The sequence below is a fragment of the Homo sapiens genome, chromosome 13 (assembly GCF_000001405.40).
Source record: "Homo sapiens chromosome 13, GRCh38.p14 Primary Assembly".
NCBI classification, from domain to species: Eukaryota; Metazoa; Chordata; class Mammalia; order Primates; family Hominidae; genus Homo; species Homo sapiens.
The window spans coordinates 41909705-41925343 of record NC_000013.11 but is presented as its reverse complement, the minus strand read 5'-3'; the positions used below and the strand labels follow the sequence as shown (position 1 = coordinate 41925343).

At 38.0% G+C, this 15639-nt stretch overlaps 1 protein-coding gene across 2 annotated transcripts in view, besides 2 other annotated features; it reads left to right on the top strand.

Annotated features, from left to right (window-relative positions):
• Positions 1-15639, top strand: part of VWA8 (von Willebrand factor A domain containing 8) — a 394275-nt gene that overhangs the window by 35766 nt on the left and 342870 nt on the right. For both annotated transcript variants that reach the window (NM_015058.2, NM_001009814.2), the window contains exon 3: positions 13176-13306. In NM_015058.2, coding sequence (NP_055873.1) covers positions 13176-13306 — 131 coding nt within the window. The remainder of the gene's footprint in view (positions 1-13175; positions 13307-15639) is intronic.
• Positions 7340-7459: an enhancer, noted in NCBI's record as "active region_7635". NCBI's record gives its function as "activates an Ori minimal core promoter by ATAC-STARR-seq in GM12878 lymphoblastoid cells {active_cell/tissue: GM12878}" and the evidence as "EXISTENCE:reporter gene assay evidence [ECO:0000049][PMID:35858748]".
• Positions 8569-8648: an enhancer, noted in NCBI's record as "active region_7634". NCBI's record gives its function as "activates an Ori minimal core promoter by ATAC-STARR-seq in GM12878 lymphoblastoid cells {active_cell/tissue: GM12878}" and the evidence as "EXISTENCE:reporter gene assay evidence [ECO:0000049][PMID:35858748]".

Here is a 15639-nt window from a genome sequence, read left to right as displayed (position 1 = left end):
TGTATTTACCAGTGAGTTTTATACTTCAATATGTACTCATAATATTAATGACCATTCTTTTATTTCCACTTGAAGAACTCCCTGAAGCATTTCTTGTAAGGCAGGTCCAGTGGTGATGAATTCTCTCAGTCTTTGCTTATCTGGGAAATACTTTATTTCTCCTTAATTTCTGAAGGGCAGTTTTTTCTGGGTGTAGTATTTTTGACTGGCAGTTTTTTTCTTTCAGTACTTTGAATATATTATTCCATTCTCTCCTGGCCTGCATGGTTTCTACAGAGAAATCTAATAGTCTAATGGGGATTCCCTTATATGTGACTTGATGCTTTTCTTTTGCTGCTTTTAAAACTCTCTGTCTTTGACTGACAGACTAATTATAATGTACATTGGAGAATAGCTTATTGGATTAAATCTGTTTGGAGACTTTTAAGCTTCATGAATCTGATGTCCATATATCTTCCAATACTTGGGAAATGATGAGTTAATGGGTGCAGCACACCAACATGGCACATGTATACATATGTAACTGACTTGCACGTTGTGCACATGTACCCTAGAACTTAAAGTATAATTAAAAAAAAAAAAAAGAAAGTGCTTCAGAGAAACAGACCTCAGCTTTGTGGGAGAACTGTATCCACTTTTGCCTTGGAAAGTGAACCAACAGCTCAAGTCATAGTGTTTCAGTAATTTTGTAAGACCCCGGGCCTAGGAATTCTGGACCTCAGCATTTATTTCATTAAATAAGCTTTCTGTCCCTGTCTTTGTCTCCTCTCCATCTGAATATCCCATAATGTATTTGTTCACTTAGTAGTGTCCCATAAGTCCCATGGGCTGTCTTCACTCTTTTTCACTCTGTTTTCTTTTTCTTTCTTTTTTCTTTTCCTTTCTTCCTTCCTCCCTTCCCCCCGCTTTTCCTTCCTTCATCTCCTCTCCTCCCCTCCCCTCCCTTCCCCTCCTCTCTTCTCTCCTGTTTCTGTTTCTGTTTCTTTTGACTGGGTAATTTCAGAAGAGCTATCTTCAAGTTCAGATATTTTTGGTTTTGCTTGATCTCATCTATTTTTGAAGCTCTGTCTTGTATTTTTTATTTCATTGACTGCATTCTCCAGTTCCAAGATTTCTATTTGGTTCTTTTTTATGATATCTATCTGCTTGTTGAATCTCTGAGGTTATAAATTGTTTTCCTGTTTTCATTGAATTTTCTATCTGTATTCTCTTATATCTTGCTGAATTTCCTTAAGACTGTTTTTTTGAGTTCCTTTTTAGGCCATTTGTAAATATCCATTTCTTTGGGGTCAGTTACTGGGGAATTATTATGTTCCTTTGGTGGTGTCATGTTTCTTTGCTTTTTCATTTGTGTGTGTTTGTGTGTGTGTTTGTGTTCTGATGCTGATTTCTGTGCATTTGATAGAGCAGTCACCTCTTCCAAACTTTACAGAGTGGCTTTTTTAGGGGAAGACTTTCCCCTGCAGATGGGCCTGAAGATATTGGTTGGGCACGTTGGAGCAGTGGTGTAGTCTCTGTGTAGCTACAGCTTCTTTAGTTATGATCAATTTCAGCAATGACTACAGGTGTCTTGGTGGTCTAGGCTGCAGGAGTTTGTGTCAGTGATGGTGGCAGCATAGGTTATTAGGATCCTCAGTGGCCAAAGCTTCAGGGATCCTCCTGTTCTTGTCTTTCCCACAATGGAGAGTCTTAGATGAGGGTATCTCTCTTGATGTCTAGTCTGACACAGCCCACAGGCAGATGCAGCAGCACGGGGATCTGGGGCACAGGTCCAGAATTCCTAGGCCCGGGGTCTTACAAAATTACTGAAACACTATGACTTGAGGTGTTGGTTCACTTTCCAAGGCAAAAGTGGATACATTTCTCCCACAAAGCTGAGGTCTGTTTCTCTGAAGCACTTTTTTTTTAAATTATACTTTAAGTTCTAGGGTACATGTGCACAACGTGCAGGTTAGTTACATATGTATACATGTGCCATGTTGGTGTGCTGCACTCATTAACTCATCATTTACATTAGATATATCTCCAAATGCTATCCCTCCCCGCTCCCCCCACCCCACGGCAAGCCCCGGTGTGTGATGTTCCCCACCCTGTGTCCAAGTGTTCTCATTGTTAATTTCCCACCTATGAGTGAGAACATGCGGTGTTTGTTTTTCTGTCCTTGTGGTAGTTTGCTCAGAATGATGGTTTCCAGCTTCATCCATGTCCCTACAAAGGACATGAACTCATCCTTTTTTATGGCTGCATAGTATTCCATGGTGTATATGTACCACATTTTCTTAATCCAGTCTATCATTGATGGACATTTGGGTTGGTTCCAAGTCTTTGCTATTGTGAATAATGCCGCAGTAAACATACATGTGCATGTGTCTTTATAGCAGCATGATTTGTAATCCTTTGGGTATATACCCAGTAATGGGATGGCTGGGTCAAATCATATTTCTAGTTCTAGATCCTTGAGGAATCACCACACTGTCTTCCACAATGGTTGAACTAGTTTACAATCCCACTAACAGTGTAAAAGTATTCCTATTTCTCCACATCCTCTCTAGAACCTGTTGTTTCCTAACTTTTTAATGATTGCCATTCTAACTGGTGTGAGATGGTATCTCATTGTGGTTTTGCTTTGCATTTCTCTGATGGCCAGTGATGATGAGCATTTTTTCATGTGTCTTTTGGCTGCATAAATGTCTTCTTTTGAGAAGTGTCTGTTCATATCCTTTGCCCACTTGTTGATCGGGTTGTTTGTTTTTTTCTTGTAATTTTGTTTAAGTTCTTTGTAAATTCTGGATATTAGCCCTTTGTCAGATGGGTAGATTGTAAAAATTTTCTCCCATTCTGTAGGTTGCCTGTTCACTCTGATGGTAGTTTCTTTTGCTGTGCAGAAGGTATTTAGTTTAATTAGATCCCATTTGTCAATTTTGGCTTCCGTTGCCATTGCTTTTGGTGTTTTAGACATGAAGTCCTTGCCCATGCCTATGTCCTGAATGGTATTGCCTAGGTTTTCTTCTAGGGTTTTTATGGTTTTAGGTCTAACATTTAAGCCTTTAATCCATCTTGAATTAATTTTTGTATAGGGTGTAAGGATGGGATCCAGTTTCAGCTTTCTACCTGTGGCTAGCCAGTTTTCCTAGCACCATTTATTAAATAGGGAATCGTTTCCCCATTTCTTGTTTTTGTCAGGTTTGTCAAAGATCAGATGGTTGTAGATGTGTGGTATTATTTCTGAGGGCTCTGTTCTGTTCCATTGATCTATATCTCTGTTTTGGTACCATACCATGCTGTTTTGGTTCCTGTAGCCTTGTAGTATAGTTTGAAGTCAGGTAGTGTGATGCCTCCAGCTTTGTTCTATTGGCTTAGGATTGACTTGGCAATGCAGGCTCTTTTTTGGTTCCGTATGAACTTTAAAGTAGTCTTTTCCAATTCTGTGAAGAAAGTCATTGGTAGCTTGATGGAGATGACATTGAGTCTATAAATTACCTTGGGCAGTGTGGCCATTTTCACGATACTGATTCTTCCTATCCATGAGCATGGAATGTTCTTCCATTTGTTTGTGTCCTCTTTTATTTAGTTGAGGAGTGGTTTGTAGTTCTCCTTGAAGAGGTCCTTCACATCCCTTGTAAGTTGGATTCCTAGGTATTTTATTCTCTTTGAAGCAATTGTGAATGGGAGTTCACTCATGATTTGGTTCTCTGTCTGTTATTGGTGTATCGGAATGCTTGTGATGTTTGCACATTGATTTTGTATCCTGAGACTTTGCTGAAGTTGCTTATCAGCTTAAGGAAATTTTGGGCTGAGACAATGGGGCTTTCTAAATATACAGTCATGTCATCTGCAAACAGGGACAATTTGACTTCCTGTTTTCCTAATCGAATACCCTTAATTTCTTTCTCCTGCCTGATTGCCCTGGCCAGAACTTCCAACACTGTGTTGAATAGGAGTGGTGAGAGAGGGCATCCCTGTCTTGTGCCAGTTTTCAAAGGGAATGCTTCCAGTTTTTGCCCATTCAGTATGATGTTGGCTGTGGGTTTGTCATAAAAAGCTCTTATTATTTTGAGATACATCCCATCAATACCTAATTTATTGAGAGTTTTTAGCATGAAGGGCTGTTGAATTTTGTTGAAGGCCTTTTCTGCATCTATTGAGATAATCATGTGGTTTTTTGTCTTTGGTTGTGTTTATGTGCTGGATTACGTTTATTGATTTGCATATGTTGAACCAGCCTTGCATCCCAGGGATGAAACCAACTTGATCATGGCGGATAAGCTTTTTGATGTGCTGCTGTTTTTGGTTTGCCAGTATTTTATTGAGGATTTTTGCATCGATGTTCATCAGGGATATTGGTCTAAAATTCTCTTTTTTTCTTGTGTTCTCTGCCAGGCTTTGGTATCAGGATGATGCTGGCCTCAAAAAATGAGTTATGGAGGATTCCCTCTTTTTCTATTGTTTGGAATAGTTTCAGAAGGAATGGTATCAACTCCTCTTTGTACTTCTGGTAGAATTTGGCTGTGAATCCATCTGGTCCTGGACTTTTTTTGGTTGGTAGCCTATTATTGCCTCAATTTCAGAGCTTGTTATTGGTCTTTTCAGGGATTCACCTTCTTCCTGGTTTAGTCTTGGGAGGGTGTATGTGTCGAGGAATTTATCCATTTCTTCTAGATTTTCTAGTTTATTTGTGCAGAAGTGTTTATAGTATTCTCTCATGGTAGTTTGTATTTCTGTGGGATCGGTGGTAATATCCCCTTTATCATTTTTTATTTCATCTATTTGATTCTTCTCTCTTTTCTTCTTTATTAGTCTTGCTAGCGGTCTATCAATTTTATTGATCTTTTCAAAAAACCAGCTTCTGGATTCATTGATTTTTTTGAAGGTTTTTTTTGTGTCTCTATCTTCTTCAGTTCTGCTCTGATCTTAGTTATTTCTTCCCTTCTGCTAGCTTTTGAATGTGTTTGCTCTTGCCTCTGAAGCACTTTCTAACAGCTTACACCCAGGGGGCAGGAATATAGCTGTGGCTCTGACCATGGAGGGCAGTGTGCAGAACTGGCATGGCTCCAGGGAAGAAGGGGAGCCTCAAAGGTTCAGGCCCCAGGGAATAGGGCACAGCTGCAATTTGGGACCTAGAATCAACAGGGCACAGTGGCAACTTGAGCCCTGGGAGATGAGATGTCACACACTAATTACTCTTGATGCTGGGATGGTGACACTCAGCAATAGCCCAGGTTCTGTGCAGCCAGGTGCAGCACTGTCAAGAACCCAGAAATGGCAAGGCACAGATACGGCCCAGGGGACAGGGAGCAGTACAGCCTCAGTCTACTGCCTCGGGAGGTGGGGCTCCTCAGCAGCTCAGATTCTGAGTTCCTAGTCCTGTTCTAGGGAGGAAAGGCCCTTTGGCCATTTGACCTGTAGGGCAGAGGCACAGCTCATCCAAGGCTGTGATTCCCTGGAAGTAAGATGCCGTATCAGCTTGGCCCTAAAATATACAGCTACGTGGGTTGGAGGAGGTGCTAGGTCCCTGAGAGGCAGGGTACAGTGTCGGCTATGGCACTGGGTAGGACATCTTCTCTGGTGTGCTGGAGGGTTGGGGCATCCAGGAGGATAGGATGTTGCATGGGTGTGGTGTCTGGGGGTAGTTTGATGCTGTGGGTCCCCAGTGAGAGCATCACTTCAGCTCAGGCCTTGAAGGGCAGGGTACACCAATGTCTGGGATGCAGGGGATGGAGCAGCTTCAGGGTAACTTGGAGCATAGCAGTAGCTAAATTCAGGGATTGGGGGCTACCAGGTAGCTGTGCTGCAGTGATGGCAAAGCCTCCAGGATGGAGGGGTGCAATGACTACCCATCCCTGGAACAGGATGCACTGGAGCAGTGGCTCTGGTTACAACACAGTAGCAGCTCAGGCAGGGGACTGGGGTAAGGCACAGTGTCGGTTTGTTCTCTGGGAGTAGCACAGAATGTGTACTCTGGGGAGCTCCCTCAGCTGGGCTCAGAGCCTGTGAGGACTGCAGGAATCTCTGGTAGCAAAGACTGCAGGTATCCATAGTAGTGATGCGAGCTGGTAGTGTCCTTCTGCTTACCTTTTTCCTGCAGAGAGAAATACCTCCTGGGTCCAAGCTGATCCCCAAATAGGGGCTGAGATCATCCTTGGCAGAGGCAAAGTTTCCTTTCCTTCTCTATGTGGCCATCCTGGGTTTCTGTGCTCTACAGGATTTCTCCTACTCCTTTGCAGTTCTCCAGGGCTCTCCTTTATTTATTTTGGTGGAAATGTCGTTTTTTCATTTGTTTGGCTTGGTTTTTTTATGGGGGAGGAGTGCTAGGAACTTCAAGTCAGCCATCTTACTGATACCACTTAGCAATGATCCCATGTGCTATGTAGAATTATGCTGTTTAGTCTCTAAATATTTGGAGATTTTCCAAAGATCTTTTTATTACTAATTTCTAATTTAATTTAATTTTGGTCGGAGAACACACTTTGTATGGCTTGAATCTTTGTGAAACGTATCTAGTGTTTTAAAAAATGACTATGTATATGTGTATCATTTAAGAAAATAATAGTATGTACTGTATATACTATTTTGTATATACAGAATGTTTTCTTACCTTTTTTTATTTGCAGACCATACTTTTGTATGTACAGACCATTTTCATAAAGCAACATATTGTGGACATTTCCTTATGTAAAATATTTTCTAAAGCATGACTTTAAAAAAATAACTTTTTTGCAGAACTAATATATTTTTGTCATTCAGAAATCAAAACAATATAAAAAGATATACATTGAGAAATTATATATTCACCCCTATTTTCATTCATGTTAATTCTCACAGTATTAGTTTCAGGGGAATCTGTCTTGCATTTTTCTATACAAACACAAGCAAATATACATGTATACTCTTATTTTTGTACCCTTACACAAAAAGTGAACAACATGACACTTAGTCATTGAATATGGATATGTATAATTATTTCATACATATTGATGAATTTTTCCAATTTTAAGAAAAGCTGAATATCTTCTCTGTGCTGAGCACTGTGCTGGCCAGTGCTGTAGATTTAGTTTTGATAACAGCTATATTGGATCATAGAAACATCAGCCCACTTTATAAATGATTGGCTTTATATAAGCTACGTAAGCTGATGTTTTATATATGTATTTTTCTTTTGATGTCTTCAAAGAACCTTATTTTATTCATCTTTGTATTCTTGGTGCTGAGCATATAGTAGGTCCTTAATAAATATAGCTGTGTGAATAAATTAATTTTTTAGTTCAGTTAGTTCGTGTTGTAAATAATGAGGACTTTGGTGCTAAATATTTTCACCCTTCATGTCCATTATATCTAACTACAGAATGTTACATGGTAAATAGGGGAAAGTTTAGCAGATGAGCACGTAGTTGCAGTGAGGAGGTTAGTCATGCTTCCTTTGAAATCTTGTGTTGTGATGTGGTAGAAAAATCAAATTCAGGGGCATGTTATGGGCCTAGATGTAGATTCTTTCTGAGCTATTTTGTGGGGTGATGAAATGGTAATGAAATGTCAAGTGAAAGTACTCTAACATAGGCTTTACCAGTGAGGATGTAGTAAGTACTGGGTTCCTTTCTCCCTTATTCTTCAGATTTGCCTCTAGGCCCAGCAGGTAATTTGAGTGTAAACTCAGGAGCCTATTCATATCCACCAAATCCACACTATACAGCCTGGTGTCCAGGGTACACAGCAGAGATAGGAGTTTGCAGGTGAGGATGAGACTTGAATAATTCTCCCGTACCTGGTTCTCATTGGCTGAGGGACTGGGCATGGTGCTTTACCTATAATCCTCACAAACCATACTCAATAAGTATTATTATCTTTATTTTGAAAATAAGGAAACTACAAATCTGCGTGTTCTGCACATGTATCTCAGAACTTAAAGTATAATTTAAAAAATTTAAAAAAGAAAATAAGGAAACAGACCTGAAAGAGTCAAAATGCTTGTCTAAGGACATGGATAAAAGACAGGATGAAAAATCACAGTAGGTCTGTCTGGCTTCAAAGACTTTTTTTTTTCCTCCATTATATTATGCTGCTTTTTGGGATACTAAGAAAACATCAACAGTTTTGAAGGATTTATTATAATAGAATCTGACCTATGCTTAATTTTCTAGAATTTTAATTTTAACTTTTATATGTATGAAAATTTGAGTTCATGAAGGGAGAAAATTATAATTTAGATAACTATGATAAAATTACTTTAAAGCCTTTGAATATGGCTGGGCAAAAAATAGTACATATTTTTTGAAAACAAATATTGGTTAGGAATTGAATCAGGGATTTAGGCCAGTATGAACTACATGTTTTTATCTTTACATAGAAAAGGAATCTTAGAATATAGGATCAAGCTCTTTGGGATTATTTTGACATCGGTTTATTATTATGTGGACTCCTGGAAGGTAGCATTTTGTGCCTGAAAACATTGAAGTTGGGGATTTCTCTCGTGTACTGTGCTATGTTTATATTAGGTTATGCATGGCAGTTTGGCACTTTGTTTTGCAGATGTTCGTAATGTACAGTCTTGAATCTTGTTTCTATTTCTGGCGTGCTTTTAAGTATGACTCATGTTTTCTTGAGGCCATTCTAAAAATACAGCTAGTTTCAAGCATTAATGTAAAATATACCACAGATACCACATAGCACTGCATGATGCTTTCTTTCAGTAGTTTAGTGCAATTTCCTGACAAATTAAATATAGACATGCTTTTTGGTAAAATACGCTATACTAAAACATGAATAAGTGAAAGTTGGATTTTCTTTGAGAAGTAGATCCTCTGATAACATAATATTCATTACAAAATAACTTTGAAATTTTAATAAAAGGAATAAAACATACCATTGATACCACCAAAAAGAAGTAGAACTAATGGCTGGAACAGCAAGTCTGCTAAATTTGATGTAGCCCTGAGAGGTCCACACTTGTAGGGAAAGTCTTGCACCTGAAGCTGGACACCTGTTGAAAAGCTTTTGGAGGGACTGTAGAACATAATGACTGAAATACAAGTTTTGGACTTAAACAACTTAGGTATAAATCTTGGTTTATGGACTTAGCAGCTATAGACAAATGATACTACATTTCCAATTTTGATTTTCTTATTGTAAAATGGGAGTAATGAGTATTTAACAAACACAGCATTTACTGTTATTAGACACTGTTCTAAGTGCTTAATATAATCCTCATAACAACTTTATAAGTAAGTACAATTGTATCTATTATACAGATGAGGAAACTGAGCAGAGAGGTTAAATAACTTGATTAAGGTTACATAGCTAGTAAATAGTAGAGTTGGAATTTGAACCCAGCCAATCTGTCTTGAATCTGTGTCTTTATACAATAGGTCTGCTGCTTTCTAGAATTGTTATGAGATCCTATGTGAAAAATCGTTTGTATGTTTACCTGGTACCTGATAGGAATGCAATAAATTATAGCCATTATTAGTATTGTTATTGAGGGAGAATAAAAGCAGGGAAAATGTATTTTCTTTGTGAAGGTATGCCATAGACTACAAGGCCAGCCATGGGATTCAGAAGTAGCTTATATGTATTAAGAAACTTATGTAAAATTGGAATGTGATGATGAGAGCCTTAGATATCCTGACAACTCCTACAGACTTACTCTAAAGGTAGAACTTATTCTCTACTGATTTCCTCGCTAAAAGTTTTATCTTTCAGAAGGTAAAGGAAATAGAGAGAAACTCTTTCTCTGGGCTTAATTGTGACAAACTCATTAGTGGTGTGCAGGCAACAGAGGCCTTGAGAAAAAATAATGACTACACAATATTTCTCAACTATGGTGCCATTGACATACTGGGCAGGATGAGACCATCTTGGTCATTGCATTTACCATCACAAAATATCAGTGGTGTACCAAATTATTTCTCATTTCCCAAAGCTTTACAACAACCCAAAGTACTCCCAGACATTTTCCAAATGCCTCCTGGCAGGCCTAGAATGGTAGCAGTATGGTCACCAGTTGAGAACCACTGCTGAGTGCTAAGAATAAAGGAAGGACTGAGACTAGTCAGATGTGCCTTAAGGCAGTGTTTCTCAGTACATGTGCATCATGCTGAAGTGGAAGACACTCCCAGGAGCATAAACATGATTATACATAATTCCCAGGGCTCTAGCTTTAAATAACTCCATGCTTTTCTCTTCTACTTAAGAAAGTACACTGCTGTACAAATGTCTCTATTATGGCTATAACCTCAATTCTGCTCCAGTTTGCTTCAAAAAATGAAAAGATAAGTTATTCCTAAACATCAGCACTTTATTATACAGACAATTTATGAGGGGCAGGCCTCACATTTGATTAGGAACTGCTACCTTAGATTTTAAAAAATCTTGAAAATGATTATGGTTCCAAGGTCAAAACATTCAAAACAAACTGGAAGTATAGAACTAAATTGAGACTCCATAATTATAAACAGTTACCAATAGTCATAAATAATAAAAGGTGGGAGGAAGTTAAAGAAACCAACTTGGCTTGAACTTCTAGAACTTTACAAATTTTGGATTTTAAATTATCAAGTCCAGATAATGGAAGGTCAGGCACATTGCCAAAGTTGAATACAAAGTGACACAAAACTGTGAGAGTACTATAGAGAATGCCTGTGGCCAAATTAAGCTGAGATTTATGAAAATGTAAAGAAAAAACCCAAAGTGTTTTTAAGTTTTTAATTATATGTTTGATATCAGAGTAGGAAGAGGTAATAGATTTACAGCATAGAGAACATTGTGTAGTTTTACTAATAAAGAAGTTAAGGTGTCTTAACTCTTATTTTGTTTCATCCTTAAACAGCAAGGAGGCTGACTTGTCTTGAAGCAAGAAAGAATAGACTGTATATTATAAAGATTGATTTAAGCTTCAAGTAGAAAAGAAAATAGGTAAAAGGGCATGTGATAGTTATAAATAAGATTAACTCTCTAGACTCAGGCCAGTTGCATGCTAGCATCATGAAACTACCTAATAGATTGCTAAAAAGTATAGGTTCTTAGAGCAGTATTTTTCAATCTACTTTTCTTTATTACTCTCCTGCGGATATTTTCTCCCTGTTATTATTCCTTCCTAACCCCAAGAAACTTGAATACCATAGATATGTTATATATCTGCTTATGTACTGTGTCCTTTTAGAGATGGAGTCTCACTTTGTCGCCCAGGCTGGAGTGCAGTGGCGTGATCTTAGCTCACTGCAACCTCTGCCTCCCCTGTTCAAGTGATTCTTCAGCCTCAGCCTCCTGAGTAGCTGGGACTACAGGCTTCGCCATGTGGGCCAGGCTGGTCTTGAACTTCTGACCTCAGGTGATCCACCTGCCTCGGCCTCCCAAAGTGCTGGGATTACAGGCGTGAGCCACCATGCCTGGCCGAGGACCACAAACTATTGTAACATCTAAACATTTTTTTCAAGTCCCCCTTCCAGGAACCAACTTTTATCCCGCTAGGGATGCATGTCTTAGGGATTTTATCCTGCTAGGGATGAATGTCTTAGAGGATTTGTAAAAACAAGAGAGAAACCAAACAGTTCTACTTGAAGTAATGAGTCTCAGACATATGGGCATTTGTTTTGGGGAGATTATAATATGCTTTAGTGTGACTCCAGTGACATGATAAACCAAACAATTTACCCAAAACCTTGTCCTTGATCTTCCTATCAGAATAATGAAAATCAGAAAATTATCTTTTCCAAAGATTAAATGTTTGCTTTCTTTGGGGCAGGGGAGTACAGGAGAGACTATCCTAACAATATTGTGCTGTCAGAGGAGGAGAAGCACTAGAAGCACTAGATATTTAGTCCTAGGCTTTCTTAGTTGGATCTTTGAACTAATCCGTGACCTCAGTGGGGTGATTAAACAAAGTTTAGCACGTGTGGAATATTTGCTACATACAAAAGACATTATGTAATACAGATGTCTGTGTCTGTCTGTATAAAATGCAACATAATAAACACTGTAACCCACATCTAATGTAAAAACTAGAATATTACCAATATCCTTGAAGCTATACATAAGAATCTCTTTGATTCCATGGCCACTCCTTACCCCCAGGTATCCAGTTATCATCAACTTACAATTCCCTTGCTGTTTTGCTTTTTCAAGTACTGTTTTATCACATATATATCTATTTCTAAAGAATTCATTTGCTAGTTTACTGAGATTTATTAAAATGGTATTATACATGATTTATTCTTATTTTTTTTCACTCAATATTATACCTTTAAGGGTTAAGCATATCATTGGAAGTGGGGGTCTTTTATTCTGTTTTTGTTGCTGTATAATATTTCATTCTGTGTATTTATTCATTGTTCTGTCTCCAGTTTTATTTTGGACAGTTCTGCTCTGAGTATTATACATGTCTCTTGATGTACAAGGTTATGAGTTTTTCTTTTATACCCAGGAATGGACTCACTGGGTGATTTACATATGAGCAAAACCAAACTAATTGTATTAATTTAAACATTTTAGAAAATGCTGAGTTAGAAGATGAGCACATTGATGGGGTGATTTAATAGTAGACCTGGAAGGGCGTTGCATGGGGTGGTCTTCTATTCACAAAAGAATTTGGTATAGAAGAATAGACTTAAATAGTTAATTCTAAAGAAGTAGTTTTAAGTCTACATCAAATTTTCTAACCATGATCTTACAACCCATTACCAACTTAAGTTGTAGTATGCTTTTCTCAGATTTTTTAAGACTATGATAATCATTAACTATCTGGGATGATTTGATCATATCTCTCTTTTAGAACAAAAAGATTGGACTATAAAATTGTGATTAATCAAATCAGTTCCTCAAATCATCCTTGAAGATCGCTTTTATTTCGTTAGGAACAGTTATAGGTTATTATTCAAATGTTATGGAAAGCTTTCAAGTAAGGAATATGTAATTCTTTGTGATATTATAAACTTAATCTTGTTTTAGCATCGACAATAATGGTTTTATTGTAAAACTATGTGAAAATTCAGCAGGTGTCTACATGTTTGTCCAGATAAACATATGCATATGTTTATATATATTTATATACATATGTTTATAAATACACAGATAAACACATATTTTATATACGTTATATATATATATAAATATGTCCACATTACTTGGAGATTTATATTATAAGTAATACTTAAATTTGCACTTCATTTTCTCTTTTTTCTTTATAGTTTCAGACTCTCTGGCTCAATCTGTAGTTCAGCATCTAAGATGGATAATGCAGAAGGATCTTTTGGGGCAAGATGTTTTTCTAATAGGACCTCCTGGGCCTCTTCGACGCTCTATTGCTATGCAGTACTTGGTGAGCAGTTAATTCTTGTCAATTTCTAAGGGTCTTAACTTTGTAAGCTATGAAATAAAATAAGATTAAGAATTTATAAAAAATATCAGAATTAGTCATTATTTGAAACAAATGCTGACATCAAAGGGTGATTTGTTTATAAAGTGTTTGGCATAAGTTATTTGGGAGTCAAATGTATAGCTTTAGCAAATTTTCATAGCTGTAGCAAATTTTTACTGTAACTAGAAAGTCCCCCACTTCCAGTAGAAAAGAGATATAAATTCAGGCAATGAGTAGCAGATAGAATCAGCAAGTCTGAAATTACAAAGCAAAACTTGGTATTATACTGCTTAGTGAACATTCCCTTATCTCAGGCTCACATTTTAAAAAGCCAAACAATTCCCTTGACTTTTGGAAGTTATGCAGTCTTTAAAGGAAGCCTAAGGTCTGTAGAGTATCTCTTCTGTGTTATATATCTCCTTGTTTTTTCTTTAAATAGATGAGAAAACAAGTTCACAGAGGTTAAATAACTCACTCAAGCTTTATCCAGCTGGTAAATAATAGAGCTAGAGTTGAAATCCCATGTTTCCCCTTTCTGACATGTTGTCCTCTTAAACATTTGCAGTTCTTTGAGAACTGTTGTTAAGTGAACTGAAGCTCAAATCTCAACCCAAATAAGAAAATTTACAAGTCTTGACCAGGCACAGTGGCTCACACCTGTAATCCCAGCCCTTTGGGAGGCTGAGGTGGGTGGATCACCTGAGGTCAGGAGTTCGAGACCAGCCTGGCCAACATGGTGAAACCTCGGCTCTACTAAAAATACAAAAATTAGCAGGGTATGGTGCTAGGCGCCTGTGATCCCAGCTACTCGGGAGGCTGAGGCAGGAGAATTGCTTGAAGTTGGGAGGTGGAAGTTGCAGTGAGCCAAGATCGTGCCATTGCACTCCAGCCTGGGTGGCAAAGTGAGACTCCGTCTCAAAAAAAAAAAAAAAAAAAGAAAGAAAATGTACAAATGTTTTCCGCTATTTTGTCAGTATTGGTAGGCATTACCCTAATGATTAATGAAAGAATGCCACCAGATGAAGCTGTGTTCTGAAGACATTTTTTAGGATGAAGAGAAAAACCTTATTTAAAGATTCCTTGTATTATTTGCTATGAAATGATTGATTTCAATGCTATTGAAATCTACCTTGTACACTCTTTTATTTCAGTGGCGAATCTTCTTTGGTACTTCAAAAATCATGTGGGGCAGAAATAATAAATACATGAATAAATCAGAGCCTAACTCGCACTAGCTCATTTATCTTTTATTTATCCCTAGAACTAGTTTGTGAGGTAAAACGTGCCACTGTAGAGCCATCCTCACTTTATTAATATGTAAGGTAAAAGTGTCTTATCTAAGAATGCGAAGTCAGCTACTGAGAATTACAGATCTAGAGCCATTTTTGTTGTTGTTTTTTTTTTTTGTTTTTTTTGAGATGGAGTCCCACTTTGTCGCCCAGGCTGGAGTGCAGTGGCTTGATCTTGGCTCACTGCAACCTTTGCCTCCTGGGTTCAAGTGATTCTCCTGCCTCAGCTTCTCATTAGCTGGGACTACTGACGCATGCCACCACACCCGGCTAATTTTTCATGTTTTTAGTAGAAATGGGTTTCACCATATTGGGCAGGCTGGTCTCCAACTCCTGACCTTGTGATCCATCTGCCTCGGCCTCCCAGAGTGCTGGGATTACAGCCACCGTGCCCGGCCAAGCCTTTTTAATTTTAAGATGTGCACTTGCTACCTTGCTTATTTCAAAGACCACAATATCTCACTGAGATTTTGTTTTTGGCAAGGCTTTGAAGCTTATTGAGAATGTGAAATGAGAAGGGCTAAGAGATTATGAGAAGCCTCGTTGGTTCAAAAATGCAACATAGATTTGTAAGTGTGAAACCTGTATCTTTAAAAAAGAAACCAACAACACCCCCAACTTTAAATTGTGGAATGGAGCTGAGGCAACCATAGGCTGTGGATATACATAAGAAAACTTAATACTAGCTTAAGCCTCCTTGCAGTGAGTACTATTGCCCCTAAGAATAACAGCCTATGTATAGTGATAGCCAGAGTGGATGAGATCTTTAAAGGCAGAAAATCTGGGGCAAGCATGGTAAACCATGAGAAAATAAATAGGAATAATTTCATAGTTGTGTTTATTTTATACTTATATAAAAGGACTTTTGTAGTTTGTTCAAAAAAATCATACCACTGCTGCCTCCTCCATCTGCTGCTCCTGGGGCTGTTTGTGAATGTACTCATGCCTCTTTCGTGAATCAGCACCTGGGGAGACTTTGGTGCTTGTCACGGCCAATGAAGAACA